Raw genomic sequence first — 24,334 nt, 5'->3', positions numbered from 1 at the left:
GAGCAAATGAAAATTATTACAGCTTGATATGGTTTGGATCTGTGTCCCCACCCTAATCTCATGTCGAATGGTAACCCCCCAGTGTTGGAGGTGGGGCCTGGTGGGAGGTGATTGGATCATGGGGGTGGATTTCACCTTTGGTGATAGTGAGTAAGTTCTCGTGAGATCTAGTCATTTAAAAGTGTGTGGCACCTCTCTGCCTCTCTCTCTCGGTCCTGCTTCTGCCATGTAAGATGCCTACTCCCACTTTGCCTTCTGCCATGAGTAAAAAAGCTCCCTGAGGATTTCCAGAAGCAGAAGCTGCTATGTTTCCTGGAGCGAACCTGAACTTCCCCAGAAGCAGAAGCCCTAAGCTTCCTGTAGTGAAGTCTGTGAAACTATGAGCCAATTAAACCTCTTTTCTTTATAAATTACCCAGTCTCAGGCATTTCTTTATAGCAGTGCAAGAACAGACTAATACACAGCTTGAATATTTCTGCCCTCTTTGCTCAAGAAATAAGAGAAGTAATAGTCTAGGACATGTAGCAGGACTTCTTTCACCTTTGGTGTCAAACCACCCTATAAGAAATGTTTAGAAATACACCTGTGGAAACATAAGTTATATGTTGTAGATTATTCAAGTCAAAAAGACTGATGTATAAGAAGTGTGCCAGACGTGTCCATACTGATGAAAGTAGTCTCTTCCTGTAGTAAAGATTGGAAGGCTTTTTCCAATCTTTTTGCTTTTTCCAATGTTCATGTGCTTTTTCCAATGTTCTTGCCCATAGTTAATCAAATTTTCTTTGAAATACGAGAAAAAATGATAAATGTTTGAGCTGATGGATATCTTTACCCTAATTTGATCATTACACATTGTATGCACATATCAAAACATCACACGTACTCCATAAATATGTACAATTACTGTGTATCAATTTTAAAAATCTAAAAAAAAACTTATTTATTTTCTTCTTCTTCTTTTTTTTGAGACTCTCATTAGGTCACCAGGCTGGAGTGCAGTGGTGCGATCTCGGCTCACTGCAACCTCCGCCTCCCGGGTTCAAGCAATTCTCCTGCCTCAGCCTCCCAAGTAGCTGAGACTACAGGTGTGCACCAGCACACCCAGCTAAATTTTGTATTTTTAGTAGAGATGAGGTTTCACCATGTTGGCCAGGATGGTCTTGATCTCTTGATCTTGTGATCTGCCCGCCTCGGCCTCCCAAAGTGCTGGGATTACAGGTGCACCTGGCCTTTTTTGAAATATTTTATAGAGCCTGATTAATATTATTTCCAAGTGATCTTCATTGGTGACAGATCATTGCCCTTTTAAGATACATTTTATTTCTTTAATAGGAAGAAATAATCAGGAGTTGAGATTAAACAAAAATATGGGTGACAAAAGTGATAAGGCTTTTGGTGAAACACAGGGTGTGGCTATAATTAAATCAAATTTAATTGTGTAAACTCATTGCTCAAAAGGCAGTTTCCAAAAAGTGAATAATACATGAACAACAAACATTGTGTGGAACTGTGGCAGCACTGAGTCTGTGGCCCCTTGAGGTGTCACTTGACCAAAAAGCAATTTTTTGTGTGTCTGAATTATTTCAAGGGTGTTTATAAGACTCAGTTTTGTGTGTGTATCATATACACATAAGCAATAGTTCCAGCATAATGCAGATTTTGTAATAGGAAAATGAATGTATTAAAATTGATAAAAGAAAAGTCAAACGAAGTCAGCAACTCTGGTTTAGAGAAAAACTTTTACTATAAAGTTCTGTCTTTCTATTTTGTACCTCATGTACAATCCTTTGGCTTTAAGGATATTTCAAATGAGTGAGAGTAATACAAGTTTACTCTGAGTAGAAAATAAACTATGGAGTTCTCTTAACATTAAGCTTACTACATGAGTAGCAAGTCTTTTTTCCCCATAGCACGGGAGGAAGAAGAGCCTACTTGAGGCATTTCTAGTAGGATTTCACTTTTTAAATTGCTACTAGATTGGAAACTTCAAAGGTTTATTCTATAGTTTTGAATCCTAATTGAAAGGTTGACATTTTATGCTTGTTACTCCTGTGTTTGGTTTTGGAAAATGGTGTTTATTTTCCAAGTGACATGGCAGAAAGGAAAGCTCTGGACTAGGAACCAATAGATGAGGGCAAAGTCCTTTCTATATGTTTGTTATTGCTAGATTTGTGATGTTGAACAAGTTCCTCTGTCTATCTGGTCCTCAGTGTTCATATCATTAAAATGAAAGTAATGAACTACAAGATGTCTAAAATTCCACTTAGTTCTAACCTTCAGTGACTTGGTCATCTAAAGTTACAAATTGGGTATTTGAGGTTTTTAATAGCACAGATATCCTAAGACATTGACATCTGGCTTTCAAGAAAAGAGCCAGCTCCATAATTCCATTATTTTCCCATTAATGTTTAAGCTGGGAGAGAGAATGACTTAGCCAAGCACTCACACAATCATTATTCTTATGATGAAGCAACTTAACAACCAGCTTGTGTGTTTCCTGGTTGACATACACAGGAAAATTATCATCATTACATGTTTAGTGTATTGCTTAATTGATGAACTGTAGTATTTATGGAGTGGTACATTTTGCAATACTCCCTTTTTTGATGATTTTAAACTACAGAGCCATTATGGAAAGTCAGCTCTCTCCTGCGTGTACACATAATTTACTTTGAATTTCTGTGAAGATCAACCTAATTATAAACATTTTATACTGGACTAGAGCAATTCAGAACAAAGAGTCGTTCATTATATTCATGGTCATGACATTGTTAACTGTTTATATTTTTTGTTAGATTTCAAAAATATTGCATATAAAATCCTTTTAGCAATCCCTAAGTTCCTAACTCCTCACCCAGGGCTCTTTTACTATATTACAAAGCTACAAAATAAAGTAAAATAGTTGCTGAGAGTAACTCAATACAACTCTTCAGATTACCAGAAAACCTTTGCAAATTCAGACATCATGGTACATAAATCTAACTGCTCCTACTTCTGGTTTAAATGTGTTTCAGGGACTGATCATTGATATTTCTGCATTGTGTATCAATACTCAGCTTCCCAAAGGTAACTTTAGTGATTAAATAGTAAAGCTAGCTTTGCATATACACTTTTCATTGAATATTTTAGACTGAGCACATATAGGAGGATAGCAATATTGCCTGAAAATATGGAGTAATCCTTGGTAATGTGCACCACAATTCAAATTCAAGAATATTGGGGCAGGAGGGGGCATTTAACTGGGATTCACCTTGGAATAGAAAGCTCATAGCAAAAAGGCTCTTTAGTAAGATAATTCATACCTTTAAACTGCAAATTGTATGTGAAGGTGGAATTTATGGTCCTAGCAAGCATCAAGGAAAGCTTATGAAACTGAACTGCAGTTGTTCATGGCCAGCTAACCCTGCGGGAAATGGAAATGCACTTTGGTATTCTTAAAACTAAGTGTCAAAGCCCCTCAAATTTCAACTGGCTTTCAAAGAATTTTTAAAGCTTTAGAGGTTTTCAGTTAAGCACGTTCTTTTACTATTGTAGAGGTATGGAATGAACTCCTAGAAACATGTGTATGTTTAATTTATATTTTGCTTTGAAAATGTAAAAATATATTTATAAATATACATAAAAGGATATATTTATTTATTATACCCATATCTATCATCCTTGCATCTTCCAAAATGGCCTAGAGTATATTTTGGGTAAGGATAAGGAAAAAAGACAAAAAAAGGAAATGAAACAAGAATGGAGAAGGTAGACTGGAGGAGGAAGGAATGTTATGCATTCAACTTTATATGCTTAGCAAAAAGTTTGTATAAACTATTTTTGTCTTTAATAAGTTTCTTTTATGTTTCTCTATGAGACGTTACTATTAAAAATGATATGATGATGAGCTCTGACTATTCTCATTTCAGTACAAATCACCAGATAAAGATCTTTTTTTCCATTTATTTTTTCCTTCCCAGGAAAAGAAATCCCCTTTTAGTTGGCGGGAATCTATTGTTAGTTTTCCTTCTCTAAAATAGAGCCCTCTTGGCACATCCAGCAGAGAACTGCAAGGCAAACAGACTTCAGCATGTTTCATGTCGGTGAATGCAGAAGTTAGCTCACTGGCTTCAATAGTTGAGAACTCCACTTTCTCCCTTCATGACTGCATGTGTGCCTTCCTGAAGCTGTGCACTTATAAAAATGAGGGTTGACCTATCGAAATAGGAACGGACCATTCTTTCATTCAGCGTATGGTTCAGAGTTTGAGTTCAATTAGACAGAGGTTTTGTGAAGAAAAGTGTATCGGTCATTCTTTGCTGGGCTATGCTGCAAGAACAAGTGACCCTCAAATCTCAGTGCTTTGTAAGAGTAAAGCTAATATTTTCCTCATCTTCCATGATGGCTCTCCATCAGTTGTGACTTTGTCCTTCATCCTTTTCACTTTGGGATCCAGATTGACAGAATACCTCCATCTGGGGATGTGGTGTGCCTTGTGTCAGAAGGGAAATGATGGGATCTCACCACAGCTCTCAAATCTTCTGGGCATGTCACTTCCACTCCCATGTCATTTGCCAGATGAAATCACATGGCCAAGACTGACAAGAGGGTAAAATTCTCCTAAATGGAGAGACAGTGGATATTTTGAAAAATAATACAATCTATTAGAGGAAATATGAAACACAATTGTTTAATATCTTGTTCTCTGCTGGAGGACTACAATGCCAGCTCAACCCAAGTCTTGCCAGTCTTTCTCATAATTTATAGCTTTATCTTTGTGACAACAAACCAGAAAATCTGAGGAGCAAGATTTGTGGGAAAATATTTTGTTGGCACTCAGGGTATCAAATATAGTTCAAAAAAGAGGTGTCATGAAGAGACCTTCAGATTATATATAACTCAAAGACTATCTCTTCCAGGAAGCCTCCCTGTATTGACCCAATAGTATACTACTTGCTAATAAATAGCATATTGCTTACCATAAAAAGAATTGTCTTTTTATGACACTCCCCCTCGACTGCCCTTACTCCATCAATGAGCTGTTCATCTGGTGCCGATATGAAATGATGAACACAGATTTTGCTGTCTTTTTTTTCTTTAATTGATTTGGAAGATATCTAAGAGCAGAGGTTACAATGGAGTAGAGTAAAAGTCATTGCCTAACTGTGAAGTTCTTTAAAATTATGCCAAACACTGACTTGGTTATTCTATTCACTTCTCAGAATGAGAAGATAATTTGGTTTCAAGACCCTTTATCACTTATCTTCCCTCTCTCCAAGATATAGTGGAAAGCATGTGCAACATTCATTCATTCATTCATTCACTCAACAAAATATTGAGTGCCATTATGCTCCATGCACTAAGCCAGGTGCTGAGCTGTGTCATTAGGTGCTGAAAGTTTCTGCCCTCATGGAGCTTACCTTTTAGTGACAGTGACCCATGCAAATTAAATAATCACACAAGCATATTGGTATAAACCATGATCAACACCAGGAGAGAAAAATTTACAGTGCTCTAAGACCATGTAGGAGATCTGACTTCTTCTGCGTCTCTGTAAAGACTTCTCTGGGAAAATGACAGTTGAGCTGAGATCTCAAGGAAGAGTGGCAGCTAACTATATAAGAGAATAAAGGGAAGACAATTCAAAGGAGGTACAAGGCATGTTCAGAGACCCTGAGGTGGGAGGAAGGGAAAGAAAGGCCAATTGGGTACGAGCATAAAAAGCAAAGGCGCACACAGTGTGAGAAGCAGGTTGGGTTAGTGTACTCAAGGCCTTGTATGCCATGTCAAGGGTTTGGGTCTTCATGTTCTGAAAGATTTTTAGAAGAGAATGACATGAAAAAATTTGAATTTTTAGATGTCACTCTGGTTGTCATGTGAAAGGATTGGAGAGCAGCAAATGGATGGCAGGATACCAACAAAAGTCTTTTGCAGTAGTAGCAATAAGGATTTCTGCTCAGTGCAAAATTGGCATCTGAAAGTTGGATGGCACACAACTAATATTCTGGATCTCATTCATTCTAGCAATTAATTAAAAAAAAATTAGACCCCAATCTAGCAGCAGATTTTAAGAAATCAGATTTAAATTGGCCCATGGTTTATGATTTATAAGACTGTTCAAAACAAATTTCTGAAATAAATAATTTCACCTACACCAAAAGTATAGGTCTATGACTCTCTAATGATCGTAACAGATGGGCTTCAGAGAATCCACGAAGCCTTTGAAATTCCATGAAGATTGTGAGTGCTTATGTTTATGTATTTTTCTAGGAAGGAGATCTGTACAGTTTTATTGGATTCATGATCCTTTAAAAGTTAAGAACCACTGATTTACATAATCACTTGACCAATTGTAGTTGCTCCATTACCAGAATGCAGTTCTGGGTAATACATCTTGAACTGGTGGAAAAGGATAGCTGACTTCCAAAGGTTTGGGCTCCTGTTTCCTCTGGAAGGGTGGTTGCTGGTAAGTGCAGCCCAGCCACAGACTGTATTTCCTTGTCCTTGTGCATCTATGGAAGGTCATGTGACCACTTCTGACCAATAGAATGTATGCAGATATTTTGATTGGCTCTTGGTGTAAAGTTGGGTATGTGTCTGATATGACTTTTTCCATAATTTGCCACCTTCTCTAGTGACCTTGGAGACCACGTTGTAAAAATGGCAGCATCACAAGATGAAAGAATTACTGATTCGTGAGTCATGCAGACAGCCAGGAGAGCTGTCCAACTATGAACACCTGCACTGGATTTTAGTGATTAAGAAATAAATTTTATTCTCTTATGCAATTGAAATTTATGGTTATTTGTTAGAGCAGTTAACCACCCTGGCATATAAAAATAATACCTCACACAGGAAGACAGCAAAATGGGTGTATTGGCCAGGGAAAATTCCTCTTTGGATGTCTTCCTGAAACCAAGGAACAACACTGCCTTGCAGGCCATAGTTTCTTTGTATTGTTTTTGCGATGTGTAATTTACTCTGAGCCCAAATTTCTCACAAATTCTGAGCTTGATTGCATGAGAGAATGATGACCATAGATAGCTAATGTAAACAGCTTTTAATCACATAAGAACACTTTTAATAAGGTCATAGAGAGACATGTTTTAAGTGAGTGAAGATATTCATTCATTCATTTATCTAACAAATTTTTACAAATTGAGTTTCCTTAGTATGGTGTTTTTGTGTGTGTGTGTTTTTTTTTTTTTGAGATGGAGTCCACTCCATCACCAAGGCTGGAGTGCAGTGGCACGATCTCAGTTCACTGCAACTTCTGCCTCCCGGGTTCAAGTGATCCTTCTGCCTTAGCCTCCCGAGTAGCTGGGACTACAGGCGCTTGCCACCATGCCCAGATAATTTTTGTTGTTTTTTTTTTAGCAGAGTTGACGTTTTGCCATATTGGCCAGGCTGGTCTCAAACTCCTGACCTCGTGATCCCCCCACCTCAGCCTCCCAAAGTGCTGGGATTACAGGTGTGAGCCACCATGCCCTGCCCTTAATATGTTTTAAACTATACCTAGGATTTTTGTTTAAACTAGGTATGGTAAGGTGATAGACACATAGACAACTTCCTTGAAAGAAGAATTTGTTATTTATAGTTGCCAAGAGAATGGAGCATATGGGGAAGCACCAGGATTGCTTTGAGGGCAGAAAGATTGAGGGGAAAGCTGGGGCAACAGCCTTTATTTAGGGTTTTATGGGAAGGAATTGGCGAGGCAGGGTAAGCAGCTGAGCTGAGGTTTCGGATTGAAGAGTTTGGACCCTTTGGACAGGCTCTGAGCTACAAGAGTGGTCTCTAATTGTCCAGTACCTGGCTCTGGGTGACTTAGAGCAGGAGGATAATGTTCTGTGCTGGAGGAGCCTGATAAAAGGATGAGATGAGGGTATGGAGCCTGGATTTGTTGTCTTGCATATAAAAGATGTGTTCTAAGCCGAGTTGTTTAGTATCTCCAGGAATTAGCCAAACCTGGGAGGGGCAGTCCATCCCTGGTCTGCAAGATGCCCCAAGATGTCAAAGCATCATGAACTACAGAAAATAAAAAAACATGGTTAATAGAAAATGTACCAGACCTAAGCACAAAATGAGACACTAGGGTCTATGTAAATCAGATTGACCAAATTGTTACAAAGACACAGATCTATCCAACATTCAATAGCTTTTTCCCCTACTATCCTACACCATAAAAATCATTTTGAGCACTGCACGTTTCTAATAAAATTATTCATGTAAATATACACACTAAGTTACTTAAGATGAAAATAAAGCTATGGACATTTCAAATTAGTAAAAAGAGGTTCTTAAAGACTTGTCCAAGTACTTCAGGATTGAAATTAGAGTTTATCTTGAAATATGAACCTGAAAACTATGCAGAGTCCGTTGTGGTTCTGGACAATAAATACAACCTCCCTTAATCGGTATCTTTAGTCTCCCCTTCCCCAAAAGAGCAACATTACAAAATAGAGTCCAATGCTTACACTTTTCAGAGATTCTCCACTGCCTACTGCCACTATTTTCAAATTTCGGTCATTTATAGACTACCTTCTCAATTTTTGCTATATTTGTGTAGCACCTCTTTTGGTATATTCTTATTTTTTTTAAAAAAGATCAACTCACCATGGTGCTTTTATATTAGCTTCTTCTTAAGCAATCTTCCTATCTGTGTAATTGCAGATTTCGTGTTAGTTACACATTTTTTCTAGTTTGTATAAAACTAGAAAATCAGTACATATCTACTACAAGTCTTTAAAACATTGTTTGTGTACCATGTAATGACACATTGGTTCTTACCAGTGGTACCCATGTTACCCTTGGGAAATCCCTGCTGGGAAGATGATGTTCAAGGCTCCTGAGGATGTAGCCCCTGACTCCCCCTTTTCTACCATCTTTTTCAATTGTCAGGGCATCTGTCAGGATGACTGTCAATTCCAGACTGTGGTATGCGTCCTCTTGCTTCCACTCTTGCCTGAACAGGTTCTGCGTCTTTAACACTGCAGTGCCCCACCCCAGATGGGCCTTACGGTACCTCTAAAAGTCCCTTATAGCTCTGTGCCAGGGCTTCTTCCTAACAGCTCCAGACTTCCCTCCTCACAGCTCCAAACTTGTGCTGCCTCCAGTTGCTGCATTTTTTTTTTTCTTTTTACTTGGTGCCCTTAGGATGATGTGTAGGTGTTATTTTCCACTAGGGATTAAGTGTATTTTTATCTCTGGATGTTGCCTTTTGGGGATCCTTGGTTTCAACTCTAAACTTCATGGGCCAATTCTATCCTATCCCACCTTTTTTTTTTTTTGTCCTAAGTTCCCAGAACCCTAGTCAGAGTAAAACATTAAAGACTGCTCGTTACCCAAAGTGAAAACAAGGTTTTTCCATGGCCACTCCCTCTGTCTGAAATGCCATTCCTCTTCCTGGCCTTCTGGTTGTTCCTACTTAGCTCACAAAAATCAATTCCAATACCACCACCTCCTGGAAGTCTTCGTTGCCCTTCCTGGGCAGAGTTACATGTTTTTTGCTCTTTTTTTTTCACAGTACTTACTGTAATTGCTGTAATTACTGTTCTAGAATCTGTCTCTCCTGTTTGTTTGAAGATGTAGAAGACAGGGAATATATTTTAGTTATCTTTGTTTTCCCAGTGCTTAACACAATGCCTAGTACATTGACAGTGCTTCGATGATGTTTATTGAATGCATGAATAAATTCATACACTAGGAATGTATTAATTTATTCATGTACTTTGGAATAGAAGTTTGACATTTAGCTCTTTAGTATGGGAGGAGAAATGTTCCTGACAATAAAATAATGTGAGAAATGAATAGGCATTGAGTTTTCCCCCATCCCCCACTCCACCCTCCCATCCCTCACCCCTACCCCCACTTCTGGGTACAGCCAGACCCATGGAATAGTAAGAGCTTTTACTTACAAGAAGAAGCAGGAAGTGACCCGTGACCCAGGGGTGAAAAGTCACGTTCACACCCAGTCTCTGGAGATTCACTAAACTAAGTCCTGTAAAAAATTTTGTTAGGGATAAAAACTAAGAAAAACACTGAATATTTACACAGTACATTTTTCCCTAGTTTAGGCTGAAGGTAAAAAAAAAAGTGAAAGGGGGAGTGGGGAGTCAAAATTAAATAAGCCAGCTGGTTTAACTTCTCTTTTTACGTATTTTCCATTGCAATCCTCTCTTAGTCATAAAGCCTTTCTCAACCACTTTATGCTTTTCATTTGGCTGAAATTTTTCAGCTTTTCCTACCTTAAAAAAAGGATTAAAGGTTGAGTAGGTTGTGACTTTATGTTCTCTTTCTCTTCTATCCCCCGCCCCCAAAACACACACGCACGCGCACACACACACACACACTCTTACTTTCACTCTCCAACTGTATTTATTAAAACCAGTTTCTGATAACAGCTACCCAGAAACAGGATCTCTGTTCTTTTTTGAGAAACAAAGCCCATCTTTCTCATGGTGAAAAAATATTCGATGTTCCTCCCCACTTCCCCCAGCTGCCAGTGTCACACTGGTTCCCCAGCCCACTTGCAGGCAGGGCTTCCTAAGAAGCAAGAGGAACAGCTGCTGAGCAACAATAGCTCCTAACGGAGCCAATACACAGACAAGGCCTAATGTTCCTGCACTTTTCCACCCCTGCTCCATCCTAAGAATGAGTGTTTTGATGCTGGACTGCGAGGGGAAAGAGGAGGAGGATAAGGGAGGCTCCTTTCTCACTTCGTCTTTTTCTGCCCTTAAAAATAAAAGAGAGGGGCTGGGTGCAGTAGCTCATGCCTGTAATCCCAGCACTATGGGAGGCTGAGGTGGGCAGATCGCTTGAGTGCAGGAGTTCAAGACCAGTCTGAACAACACACTGAAACCTCACCTCTACAAAAAACACAAAAATTAGCTGGGCATGGTGATGTGTGCTTGTAGTCCCAGCCAGTTGGGAGGCCGAGGTGGGAGGATCACTTGAGCTTGGGAGGCAGAGGTTGCAGTGAGCTGTGATTCTGCCACTGCACTCCAGCCCAGGTGACAGAGCAGGACTCTGTCTCAAAATAATAATAATAATAATAATAATAAAATAAAGAGGGAAGTATTATTGGGGAAATTTTGTTAGTAATTTCTTCCTGTCACAAACATCCACCAAAAAATTGCATGATGATGTGTGTACGTGTGTGTGTATGCGTGAGTGTGTGTTTAGCAATTCCATTTTAAGAGGAGTTGCTCACTAAAAGCAGCTTCTTCTTTCTTTTGGAGGCTGGGTGATTTGTTCAGCAGAGGAGACTCTCGCTGGAGTGGTTCCAGCAGGTCACTGGTCACTGCACTGGGACGAGCTGGCCAGTGAAGGGACTTTGGACCCTAGTAGCAGTTTGGCATTTCTAAGTGGGTAAAAAGAATTAACTTCATAAAAATCAATAGGAATCCACTCACTCTCTTCAGCCCTTAAACAGGGACCACCCAATAATGCCTTTCGCTGTTTGATATTGAGGGGTTCCTTTCTACAGATGCCTCTTGCCCAGGCTGGGCATGTTTAATCTGCATGGAGCTTAAAGGTAACCCTGGCCTGGTGGCTGCAGATTGCATTCTGGAAACTCCAGTTCCCAAATCTACTGCCTTACAAGCTTCCAACAGAACAGCTTGACGCGGTGGATCCTTTCTTTTTGAAAATGTTAGCGAATGAGAAGTAAATCAAAGCTTTGAGCCTTGCCCGTTAGGCTGCCCCTGTGTATGGAGCTCAAAGGGGATACTTCTCTCCCCCTCCCCATCAGTGACAAAAGGCTCTCTAATCCTGATTTCCTTACAAAAAAACACAAAGTGTAAAACCAGCCTAGGGACTGCAAATAAAATGAATACTGGAGGAGCAGCTGGCACATTAATGCCCCTGAAAGCACTAGCTGGCACCTCACCCTGAAACCAAATCGCCCTGTCTCCATGGGGGCTGGGGACAGATTTAGTTTTGTAACAACACAATGAAGTATATTTTTAACAAATAAACACAATCTTGGCAGAAGCATAGGCATCTTTAGCCAGTAAATACTTCGTGCACTTGTGCTCAACTTTCCATATCCCCTACATCCCCCAGCCATCGCCCCACAAATGAAATGAAAGCTGGGAAAAGAAGTAAACTATCACAAATTCATTAAATCAGAAAAGATGTCTGTGGCCTCACTTTACAACCAAATATTACCTCTCCTTCTGAGTGGCCACTGTCTAAACAACCCTCGGCAATTTTATTTGCATTTCCTGGCCTTGACTCTTGCTTAATAGCTGGTGCTGTTTGTATTTAATCACTATTTTCTGAACTCTGTCTCTTGTCCATTTCACCTTTTCTCAAAACAAGCCCAGCCTGCACTTCTGGGAAATTATAGTGCCAAATCTTCAAGGCAGGTTAAGTAAAGAGCCGAGCTTGGAAAAGCACAAATCGTTTTGGAATATCTGGGTGTCAATGTCCAGGATTCTTGGGGACCAATGACGAGCAAGATTCAGGAACACAGCCAGTTTTTCTTAGCATTTTGTCCAGGCCCATGCTGGGAATTCGCAGCTGCTGTGTGTCGGCTCAGGGGAGATTTATTGGGAAAGAGTGAGTTTTAGTTAATTCCAGCAGCTCGTGAAAGCCACATATGACTGTCACCCAAGGGTCCAGATTACTCTCTCCAAGGGAGAGATAACTGTGAGGGAGAAGTGAGAAGAGGATGCTGAACGCAGGAAAAACGAATGACGGAAGAGAAAGAACATTCATGTGGGATTCAGGCTGCAAACAGGGAAAATCCCAGAGAATGAACCCCTTCTCTTTTTCTGAATGCTACACCCCACTCCCTGTGGCTCCCAGCCTCTCATAATTGCAGTTTGGATTGGAGTGCTTCTCTTGGCTACTGAGTGTGATCACACTTAATTTCAAGTAGCAAAGTCCATTTCAACCCATATTTTCATACTGACAAGGTGAATCTGAGTAATAGCTGTATCGAGGCTGGTTTTGGAATGACTTGCCCTGTCGATGTGAGTATTTCTCTTAAAAAAGAGAATGTGTGTAATAGTTCAGAAATAACCTTTTGCTGTCCCTAGAATCACCTCAGGAATCCCGTGAAGAGCAGCTCTTTGAATTTGCTGGTCAGAAAAGATTATTGCCTCCAAATGTTGTCTCCTAGGTCTCGTTCACTTTATCTCTGTTTGGGTATTTCACCCCAGCATGTCCTAAGCTCTGTCAAAATCTCCAGCTTCTTTTCACTTTCCTGACACCTGGTTTAGAACCTAACTTAATTTTTTTTTTTTTTTGTCTTCCTTAGCTTCTGACTAAGGCTTTTTTGTGTTTCACTGGTTTTTAGATGTTTGAAACTGATTTCAGAGGTTTGGTTGTTCTTGAGTAATTTCAGAGACATGGTTCCTCATTGTATCAAGGGATGATTTTGCTCAATGAAGCCTGACTCTCAGAGGCGGAGGATGGCATAGCAGTTCCAGGTTTTGAGTTAGGACAGAAATAGGACAATGTCCAGGGGCACAGGGGAGCCATCTGCCTCCTTAGGCTCTTTACTTCTGTCTCATTACCTAGTTTTGTGTCCTGTGCACATTCCTGAGAGAGATGGGATGGACCACTGTTGGCTTAGATTGCTCAGGATCCACTCTCTGTATCTGGAAACACCTTTGAGGGAAGCACATGGCTGAAGGGAGGTGGGGTATAGCTGAACCAAATGGGAATTTGGTTAGGGAGGTCAAGATGGGGAATGGATGTTGGAAACAAGTAGCATCTGTAACACTGCTCTTTTGTGTCCTTCTTTAGAAACTTACAAACTCTCAATATTTTATTTTTTTTAATTAATTAATTTTTTTACTTTATTTTTTGAGACAGGATCTTACTCTGTCACTCAGGCTGGAATGCGGTGGTGCATTCACAGCTTGTTGTAGCCTTGACCTTCTGGACTCAAACAATCCTCCTGCCTTAGTCTCCCAAGTAGCTGGGACTATAGGCACATGCCACCATACCTGGCTAATTTTTTTTCATTTTTTGCAGAGTCAGGGTTTCACTATGTTGCCCAGGCTGGCCTTGAACTCCTGGGCTCAAGTGATCCTCCTGCCTCAGTCTCCCAAAGTGGTGGGATTCCACCACTCAGGATTTTAATTGCCTATTGCCTCTATGCAGATGAACCTCAAATCATTATTTTTGGCTAAGGCCCCTTCTGCTCTCTAGCTACACATTCACTTTCAATGTTGTTACCTCTAATCCAACTTATATGATTGATATTCATCTTCTTTCATCTTACTCACTTCACTCAAACTCGGTCCTTCTGCTGACTTCCCTATTCTGTTTATTGTAGCACCTTTTTTTTTTTTTTTGAGATGGAGTCTTGCACTGTCACCAGGCTGCAGTGCAATGGTGTGATCTCGGCTCACTGCAACCTCTGCCTCCCAGGTTCCTGCGATTCTCCTGCCTCAGCCTCCTGAGTAGCTGGGTTACAGGCACGTGCCACCACGCCCAGCTAATTTTTGTATTTTTAATAGAGATGGGTTTCACCATGTTGGCCAGGATGGTCTCAAACTCCTGACCTCGTGATCCACCCACCTCAGCCTCCCAATGTGCTGGGATTACAGGTATGAGACACTGCGCCTGGCCATATTGTAGCACCATTCTTATAATTATTTAGACTTACTCTTCATAACCTCACCTTCCGTATGCCTATATTAATCTAGTCACCAAACCCTAATGACTCGTTCCTGGAGGAATTACTCTCATTCCTCTCTTTCTTTCCATTTTTGTTGTCACCACTCAGTTTAGACTCCTATCATCATATGCCTGAGCTAGCTTCTTGATAGGCCCTTCTTCCTTTGGTCTCTTCCCTGGTAATTCACATTGATGTAAACAGACACCTCATAAATCTTCCCAACAAGACTGCAATCATGTCAACTCTTTGCTCAAAAATCTTTATTCCTATTATCTCAAGATTTAGTACAAACTCCTTAGCTTCATATTCAAAGTAACCTTCCTCAATCTGATTCCAACCTACCTTTGGAGTCAACCTACCCTCAGTGATTTCTCTCTCTACTACTACATGTGAACCCTTCACCAACCATAAAGTTCCACTCAGTCTCTCTAAACACATCCTTTAGAGAGTGAATACAAGTTTGATTTCACAGCTTGCCACCTGCTAGCTGTGCATCTTTAGGCATAGTAACTTGCCTTTAGAAGCTTCAAATTTTGTATCTAAAATGTGGTTTTTAGGTGAATCATAAATGTGATCACATGATAAAGAATGCATGGAACATAGTAGTTTCTCAATACAAGTTTATGATGGAACAATGAGTGGCAATTCTTGATATTAAGCCTTAAAAGACCCTCTCCAAGCTAAATATTTGAAAGTCTTGACCTACATCTGAAGCTTTATTTCTCTCCTCTCACTTTTTCTCCATGGACTCAGTAATATTAACTTGTTTCCCACTCCCTGGATAGTGCAAGCCCTGCCAAATATTCCATGCTCTTACATATATTTCTACTCTCTATGAGGTTCTTCTTTCTTTGTCTACCTAGGGAGCTCCACTCATCCTGTGAGATCCAGGTTGAAAGTCTTCTCTTCTCTAGTCTTGCCATTACTCTCATGGAATAAATGGATTCATTTCTCTTCTGGACTCTCGCATATGTGGATTTTTGAGCCCCTATCTATTTCCACTTGTGGCCTATGTGCCCACTCAACACCAGGGTACATCTCTTGCCTCTTTAATTCCCATGCACACAGTTTAGGAGCTGTTCAATAAATTACTATGTATTTGATTCAATTTCATTGTGTTTTGAGCATAAGGAAAATAAAATATCATTTCTGTACTTTAATTCTTCAATAGACTCCAGATGCTTTTCAAACCAAATCCAAGCTCTTAACCATGCTTTACAAGACCTGCAGAGTGTGGGCTGAATTCCTCTTCAGCCTCATCCTATAGCTCTCTGTCTTGCTCACTGTGCTCCAGACCTATTGGTCATCTTTCAGTTTTTTAAAGAATCCAAACTCATGCCTGCCTCAGAGGTTTTGCATGTGTTCCTCCCAGGAATACCTCATTCCCCAAGATTTTTATATTTCTGTTTTTTAAAAAATCCATCAGGACCATGTTCTCCTATAGCCCCCCTGCAATCCCCAACTGTCAACCAATCTATCCAGATTGGCAGCCCTAGCATCTTCATTACTCTATCACACACTCTCAGTTAATTGCTCTCAAAGAAGCCATCTCCAAAATTGTCTTGTCTCTGTGCTAATGTTCATCATTTGAATGTAAGTTTTTTAGAATAAAATCCAAACTTCATATCCTTCCTTGTCTTACAAGGTCTACCCTCTGCAGCCACATGTCTGATCACTCTTCCCTTTGCTCCTCACACAGTAGCGATACTAGCTTTTTTCTGCTTCTCAAACATGGTAGCTTCATTTCTACCCCAGGGTGTCACATTTACCATTTTCTCTCTTGGAAATCTCTGTCCACTGCTGTTTTCATGGCTGTCCATTCCTTCATTTACTTCTTAGCACAAATACCTTTTCTCAGGAAGCCCTGCTTCCCCTGACCTCTCAAAAAAGAAGCCTAATTCTATATCATGCCATTCTTTTTATTTTCTTGCTAAGACCTACCCTTATCTTAAATTATCTTCTTACTCATACTTGATCTGTATCAGTCACTTTGATATCTCCGATGTCTAAAACAATGCTGGTTTAGAGTAAATGTCTAAAAATATTGGTTGAACAAATAGAACAAATAAGCAAATATTCTTAGGCTGTTCACTACTTCATTATAAGTAATGAAAATGTTTATCTCTGTACCCATCAAGCATGTTAATGAATGCATTAGTTTTCTATTGCTTCATAACAAATTACCCTCAAAATTTAATGGCTAAAAATAACTTATCTCACTGTTTCTGTAGATAAAAAACCTGAACGTGGCTTCACTGGTGGTTTTGGCTCAAGATCTTTTATGAGGTTTCACTCATAAGATGTAGTCTGGGATAGATGTCTCATCCAAAGGTTCAGCCAGGATGGGAGATCCATTTCAAGCTCATTCACATGGTATTGGAAGTTCTCAGTCCATTGCCACATGGGCCTCTACACAATCTCACACCCTAGCAATGGCTTTCCTCAGGATGAAATGATCCAAGAGAGTGCATGTGCGAGTGCACCAATGGTGGGAGTCACAATTTTCTTTTCACCTAATATCAGAAGTGACATCCCATTGCTTCTGTGACAATCTATTGATTAGAAGTACATCGGTCAGTTCAGTCCATACTCAAGGCAGGAGGAGATTATCAAGGACATGAATACCAGTAGGCAGAAGTCCCTGGGGGCCATCTTAGAGGGTGCCTACCACAGTCAACGACTCTTGGTTGACAAAACTCTAACACAAATTACTTTTTTTAAAAAAACAGGAAATGTATTGGAAGAATACTGAAGCAGCTCATAAAATTGAAAAAACGTGCGGAAACAAAGCATCTCAGGGACTAAATATAGCACATTACTCCTTCCTTCTCTGACATTTTTCTTCATGTTATTACAAGAACATCACAGTCCCCTTGATTTTCTCCCACCCACTTAGATAGTCCTTCTCAGACTCCTTTGCCAATTTCCTTCTTTTTCCTAATTTTTAAATGTTGAAGTGACTCAGGGCTCAGTCTTCATATCATTTCTCTTCCCTATCTAACTCCTCTCCCTAGGAGATGTCATATAACCTCATGCTTTAAATGGCATTTATACCCTAATTCCTTTACTAGTTAAAATAATGCTACCTGATATAACAAATTCAAAAATATATAATGATTAAGCATGATAGACTCATTTCCAGCTGATATGAAGTCCAAACTGAATGTTCTTGATTAGTCAACAACCCTCTCAATGGGGAGATGTAGGCTCTTTCTATTTTTTAGTTCTGCTGTTTTCGACACATAGCTTTCAAGGTTGTCATATTTGATTGTAACAAGTGAGTGAAAAGTGAAAGGATCAGGCACAAGAGATTTTTATGGGCCAGAGAATGGCATCCATCACTTTCGCTCATATAATACTGGCTAGAATTTGGTCATATGACCAGATTTAAATTGCAAGGGTGGCTGGAAACTTTAATCTAGATGTGAACCCAGGAAAAGAAGCAAGTAGGCTTAGGGATAAGTCTCTCAGCACACTCATAAATTTTTACTTTTTGCCTCAACCTTTCTCTCTCTTTTTAACTCCCGACTTACATATCTATTTACCCAGTTGGCATCTGCCCAGGTGACAGCCTAAAAGCAATATGACAAGAAAGAAAAAGCAATATCTCCTTTGAAATATCAATGTAAGCCCAGGCACGGAAATTCATGCCTGTAATCCCAGCACTTTGGGAGGCTGAGGCAGGTGGATCACTTGAGGTTAGGAGTTCAAGACCAGCCTGGCTAACATGGTGAAACCCTGCCTCTACTAAAATTACAAAAATTAGCTGGCTGTGGTGGTGGGCGCCTGTAGTCCCAGCTACTCAGGAGGCTGAGGCAGGAGGATCGCTTGAGCCTAGGAGGGTGCAGTGAGCCAATATTGTGCCATTGCACTCCAGCCTGGGTGATGGGAGTGAAACCCTGCTGTTTTTTTTTTTTTTTAAAGAAAGAAAAGAAAAAAGAAATTTCAATGTAAAATATCCCAGGGAAGACTATTACTGGCCTTCCTTAGGTCATCTGACTGCCTCTTGGATCCATCACTGTGGACAGGAAAATGGGATATTCTGATTGGTCTTGCCCACTCTGTGACCAAGAAGACTGAAATTTACTAAATGAATTGGAGGTCGCCATTGGAAGCATTCCTGTGAACGGAGCAGACATCACAATTTATACTTTCCTCACAAAATGCTGATGCTAATGTAAAGCACAGAAGTTGAGGTAAATATTGCTAAGGTATAGACTTCAACTCAGCAAGTTCACTGGGCTGGTGTGACACCACATACAAGACATTGTAGTACTGATTTTTTTACATTCATTCATTCCCTCACTCATCCATTCATTCAGTCTTTATTAAGAACCTGATATATAACAAGGCCCTGTGCAAGATGCATTAGTATGTTATATGCTAGGAACATGGTAGGCACACAGGAATGACAACTGAATCACTGTCATATTCTTATAACTCAGAGACGTTTTTATTCTGGGCCAGAAACTGCCCTGTGTGGCTTCACCTTAGTATTATGACTCAGCCTAATTAGTGCCACTACCTGATTCCTTGAGGGGTTTCTGCTGATGATTCTTAGAAACCACTAATGGGAAGAGAAACAAAACTAATATTTCTGTGAGTGTGGAAGTTAGAAGAAAATCATGTAGTTTCTGACTCTTTTTCAATGAAGACTGCTGAGGAGAATCTGACTTCAAGCCCATCTCCTCCAAAAGGATGATAAGCAAGTTGCATGCATTTATAATTGCTTGAAACAGTGTCTCTTGCATCTCAACCTTGTCAGCATTCCCCTCCACCCCCAAAAGCAGGAGAGCTAGAAGGTGGATAGAATATGGGTGTAATCTAGAGTTTGATTGCAAATTGATCCTCTTGCCCTCCTAAACAGCTCAGGTTCAGACATTGAACTGATCAAGTAGAGCACTCACATTCTTTGTTATGATGATACCTTAAAGGAATTATTCTCAAAGTGAGGTTCCCCAAACCAACAGTATCAGTACCACCTGTAGACCTGTGAGAAATAAAAATTCTTGGACCCCACCCCACCTTGAGAAATCAGAAATGCTGGAGTTAAGCCCCAGCAGCCTGTGTTTTAACAAGCCCCCTTGGAGACTGTGATACCAGATCACACTTAGAACCACTGATTTTCAGTGTTCTGTTCCACCAAAGTGATTTTTCTGATGATGAATAAAATAAAAACTTTATCTTTTCTTGGCTCTACATTTCCGATGGTGTTTTATCCAAGAGTTATAATGGTCTTAGCCTAGTTGTTACGCTACTTTTAATAATGACTCCCTTCCTGTATAAGGAACGAGGAAAAGAAAATCTGGTCATTGGCTGTGGTTTATATTTTGCCTGGCTTATTCAACCCCATAAGAATATAGGCATGGCCTTCAAACAAACTCATTCCCATCCCAGTTGTTTTGAGTGGGACATAAGTAGAGAGGAAAAGTTGTGTTTTTTTCCTTCGTTTCCTTCCAAAAGCAGAGTTAGATTGAAATCCAATCATAATGAAATGTGGATTTTGACTATAGCTAATTTTTTTTTTTTTTTTTTTGAGACAGAGTCTTGCTCTGTTACCCAGGCTGGAGTGCAGTGGTGTGATCTCGGCTCACTGTAGCCTTGACTTCCCAGGGTCAAACCATCCTCCCATCTCAGCTTCCTGAGGAGCTAGAACTCTAGGCGTGTGCCAATACACCCTGCTAATTTTTGTATGTTTTGTAGAGAGGGGGTCTCTTCATGTTACCCAGGCTGGTCCTGAACTCCTAAGCTCGAGCCATCTGTCCACCTTGGCCTCCCGAAGTTCTGGGATTACAGGTGTGAGCCACCACGCCCCGCCCACAGCTAATGTTGTAGTTGCTAGTTCTCCATATTGATTAAAGCAACAATAACAGTAACCTCTACCCTTTTGAATAAAAGATAATGAGACTATTATAATTTCAGGCCCTCAGATGATGACTTAGATTTTCAAAATTGCATTTGACTATGAATGTAGGGAGAAAGAAAAGAAAGAAAGCAAAAGGGATATCATCTCAGATAATGGAATCTGCTAAAATCATGGAAGATGTTGGGAATGGTGTTGTTCCCAGGAATGTTGCTCTAGAACCTGATCAAGAATCTCAACAAAGAATTTGCCTTTGGCTAGTATTTTAATGCCTTCTGTTTCCACAAAGCTGTCACTGCCAGCAGAGACTCTGAGTGATAAGCCTGTAGCACTTTTTCTATTTATAGCTATGTTATGACTGAGAATAGAAAGCTGGTGTGTTCTAGTGTCCATTAAGACTTAAAAGACAGGAACCAAATGCAAGCAACTCCTTATGAGTTTTGGACTGTTTAGGGAATTTGTTCAAGAGGATTTTGCACACACACACTCCTGCAGTATTTAACCCAAATGTCATAATTCAAAGACAGAACGGAAGGGAATCTTGGTCATCATCTAGTCCAATCCCTTTGTTTCATAGGAAATAGAGCTAAAAGTTTGCACAACTTGCAGAGTTGCTTAGAGGATTCCCCTAATTTCCATACCTATTACATATTTTAAATTGAATGACAATATCTTGAAACTTTTTGTCTAAAAAAGTAAATATTTCTCCAGATAACCTCTTTCCAAACCTTAGCTCATTTTGACATATTGGTGTTCCTTACCCAAGCATTTACTCTCTGTTATGGCATAATAATCCATAAATATTTCTGCAAAGCAGAATTGTTTTCTTTTTGTATTAGCCTCTTTCTTAAAGGCAAAGTTTTGGTGGACCAAGTAGTGGTCATAAGACATGAAAAGCACAGCACTGGAATGACTCTTGAGAAAGTGAGAGAACTGCTGGCCACTTGTAATTGTACTAAAAAACTTTAAAAACAATGTCAGGTACAAAGCTATAAATTCTCTATTTAAGTCATGGTAATAAACCATAGCATTTAAATGATTACTTTCAAGGAATCTCATCTCTAGCAGCCAAATATCAGTGGAAGAGACGAATCCAGTGGGTTGCTGGATTACAATGTAAGTAGAATTCTCAGCTTCATCAAATCTCCCAAGTGAAAATAATCAATTATAATTATCGAGCTATTTTACAATTTTTTGTACTGAGTCTAAAGTATAATGTGTATTTTATACCTCCATCACATCTCAATTTAGACAAGCCAGGTTCAAGTGCTTAGGGGACGCATGTGCCTAGTTACTGGCTGCTGAATTGGACAGCAGAGGTGTGGGCCATGAAGCCAAGCAGGGCAATCACCACCTCACAGGTTTAAGGAGAGCTGGAAGCCCTCCTTGGGTAAGTGGCTGAGCAGATAACTCACTCCCTCCTTTTCCACCAGCTCTACCTCAACCCATTTCTAAAAATTTATTGCATGCTCTCCATGACAAGTTGACCAGTGGGGAGGAAGAAAGTTCTGTCTGGTTTCCAGATGACTCAATACACTATGTGGGCTGATGGCAGCTGCAGGTCTAGAGCTTCAAGAAAATGGAAAAGAAAGAAGCTCATTGAGCAGAATCACAAGTGACACATCTGATTTCCTACTTTCCCTGAAAGGAGACATGTTGCTTTAGTACTGACAACTGGCAAAACTCAATATGCTGGTGTGTGTTGCCTGTTCTATAAGTGAGAGTTGCCCTCAGGCTAGAGTCAGCCACTCTATGGAAGAGATAAAAAGAAATGCCATGATATTCATGTAGATCTACTCTGCCTGAAGCCTGCAATTTATGTCTACATTCAATAATTTTGAGTTTTGTTGGGTTGGAAGTCAACTGCGTTTGCACCTCAGTCCAAAGCAGGCTAGCTGGTAACACCCTTAGCAGGAGATGGCCAGTGTGGTGGGTCACTGGCAAGGTGGGATTTAGGTTGTTGTCTTATCACTAGAGACCACTGTTTGTACTCAAGGTAACAGCCCTTCTTTTGAGGACTTGCAGATGGACAGAGTACGGAGGCTGGTAGGTGAAATAAGTCTTCAGGTTTAAAACAAAAGAAGATATTTTACCGCAGTCACCTGCACAGACACTTACTAACAGCACATGGATTAAAATCTACTAAATTTTTGAGAGAACTTTACGGCTGATGAAACCCCAAGCCTGTCCTGAAATAGCTTGTGACTATAAAAATCCCTAAGTTTCCAGGCCGCTAAACATATGCCACCTGGAAGGGGACTGCTAAAGGCAGGTAACCCCAAGGAAAGAAATACTCTCCAATGTGATGTCAGATGTGGTTGTGAAAGACAATGGAGAAAGAAGAACCTCCTGGGGCAACCAGTATAAGAGGCTGTGGGAGACAATGGCCATGGGAAATTGTCCCAGGGACAAGAGCTGTGGGCTGCCAGCTAGGTCAGCAAGAAAACTTCCCATTGCCACAATCCTTTCATGTGTGTGCTGTTTCCAACCTGAAGAACTGGATCATTGCTGGAGAACTGGGTCATTGCTGCGGAACTGGATCATTGCTGGGAAACTGTAACAGCTATAGATTTTCTCCCTCCTCCCAACCCCAACACAGGGATTTTTTAAATGTAGTTTTCCTATTCCCTTCACTATCATTTTATATTTCATCTAGTGGAGGTAATAACTTGTCTTTTGGTCTTATAGAAACCACAGCTGAACCCTATTGAAAGGAATGCATGCCGAGGGATTATGTGCTTTGAGCTATATACAGTAAATGAATAAAACTTCTTCCATGCATTTATATATATATATATATATATATATATATATATATACATACATATACACAGAGACACTCATTGTTGAGTTGTTGTCTTATAACTAGGGACCACCGTTTATACTCAAGGTAAGTGCCCTTCTTTTGAGGGCTTGCAGATAGTATTGGAGGCTATATATATATATCTGAAAGGATACAGTTTGCTACTCACTACTCACTTCCCAATAATCATTCTCTCCTTCTTCCCTAGTAACAGAACCCTGGGCAATGGCCAAGCTGAAAAATTACATTTCTGAGATTTCTGTGCAGGTAGATGGGGCCATATGTCTATATCTGGCTAGTGAGATGTAAGCAGAGGTGACATAAATAGAAAAGAAAGTACAAGCTCTTCTACTTGTTTTTCTTTCTGCTCTTTGGAAAGCTGTTGTAAAAACAATCAATTGTGGACCATGAGGGGCCTTGTAGACAGAAGTCACTTGTGATGTAAGAGAAAGATAGATGAAGCCTGGCCCCAGATGACTTTGTGGACCCTATTCCAACCCCGGACTGCTACTCTGCACTTTTTTTTTTGTTAATGTGACAGGATAAACCCTTGTGTGTTTAAGCCATTGAGCTGGGTCTCTGTTACCAATGGCAGAAAACCATTCTGATATACTAGTTCAGATATGACATAGAGTGTTTTTCTCAATTCTATTGATTGCAAATAATACAAGCCCAAATTAGCATGTTTAAGGGGGAAAAATACTTTATTTGAAGGCGACAAGATATCTGGTGCAGTGCAGTGTGCTAAATATCAGAATTGACTAAAAGAAGGAACTGGAAATCCAAGAGAAACTACGGCCTTATTAAATTATCTCTGCTCTCGTGTCTGGTGCCTTTATGTCTCTGTTTCTATGTCTGTGTTCTCTCCTTCTCTCACTGCATTGTTTCTTTATCTCAACCTTTCTACCTCTGTGCTGTGCTCTGTCTCTACAGACCACCTTCTCACTTTTTCTGCTCCCATTTGTAATATCTCCACTAGAGTTCTGGAGCAGTAGCAGCAGCAGCAGCACAGTCTTCAATACCACCAACCAATTTCATAGAATCTTAATATCTC

The 24,334-nt window shown here is 40.1% G+C and overlaps 1 long non-coding RNA gene across 2 annotated transcripts, besides 4 other annotated features; it reads right to left on the bottom strand.

The window, feature by feature from the left end:
* Positions 1–3,928: 3,928 nt before the first annotated feature.
* LOC105369904 (uncharacterized) lies at positions 3,929–10,419 on the bottom strand. 2 transcript variants are annotated; one of them, XR_945210.3, is made up of 4 exons: positions 9,894–10,419; positions 8,593–8,635; positions 7,789–8,004; positions 3,929–4,599 (listed from the first exon to the last, which is right to left on the bottom strand). It is a non-coding gene; the product is annotated as an uncharacterized LOC105369904 (long non-coding RNA). The 2 variants fall into 2 exon arrangements; XR_007063405.1 differs by lacking the exon at positions 9,894–10,419 and having other exon boundaries at positions 7,789–9,765.
* Positions 12,980–13,229: an enhancer, noted in NCBI's record as "active region_6747". NCBI's record gives its function as "activates an Ori minimal core promoter by ATAC-STARR-seq in GM12878 lymphoblastoid cells {active_cell/tissue: GM12878}" and the evidence as "EXISTENCE:reporter gene assay evidence [ECO:0000049][PMID:35858748]".
* Positions 22,167–22,216: an enhancer, noted in NCBI's record as "active region_6746". NCBI's record gives its function as "activates an Ori minimal core promoter by ATAC-STARR-seq in GM12878 lymphoblastoid cells {active_cell/tissue: GM12878}" and the evidence as "EXISTENCE:reporter gene assay evidence [ECO:0000049][PMID:35858748]".
* Positions 22,227–22,316: an enhancer, noted in NCBI's record as "active region_6745". NCBI's record gives its function as "activates an Ori minimal core promoter by ATAC-STARR-seq in GM12878 lymphoblastoid cells {active_cell/tissue: GM12878}" and the evidence as "EXISTENCE:reporter gene assay evidence [ECO:0000049][PMID:35858748]".
* Positions 23,618–23,757: an enhancer, noted in NCBI's record as "active region_6744". NCBI's record gives its function as "activates an Ori minimal core promoter by ATAC-STARR-seq in GM12878 lymphoblastoid cells {active_cell/tissue: GM12878}" and the evidence as "EXISTENCE:reporter gene assay evidence [ECO:0000049][PMID:35858748]".

The sequence above is a fragment of the Homo sapiens genome, chromosome 12 (genome assembly GCF_000001405.40).
Source record: "Homo sapiens chromosome 12, GRCh38.p14 Primary Assembly".
Taxonomy (NCBI): Eukaryota; Metazoa; Chordata; class Mammalia; order Primates; family Hominidae; genus Homo; species Homo sapiens.
The sequence above is the reverse complement of the archived record's forward strand: the minus strand, read 5'-3'. Positions and strand labels throughout refer to the sequence as shown.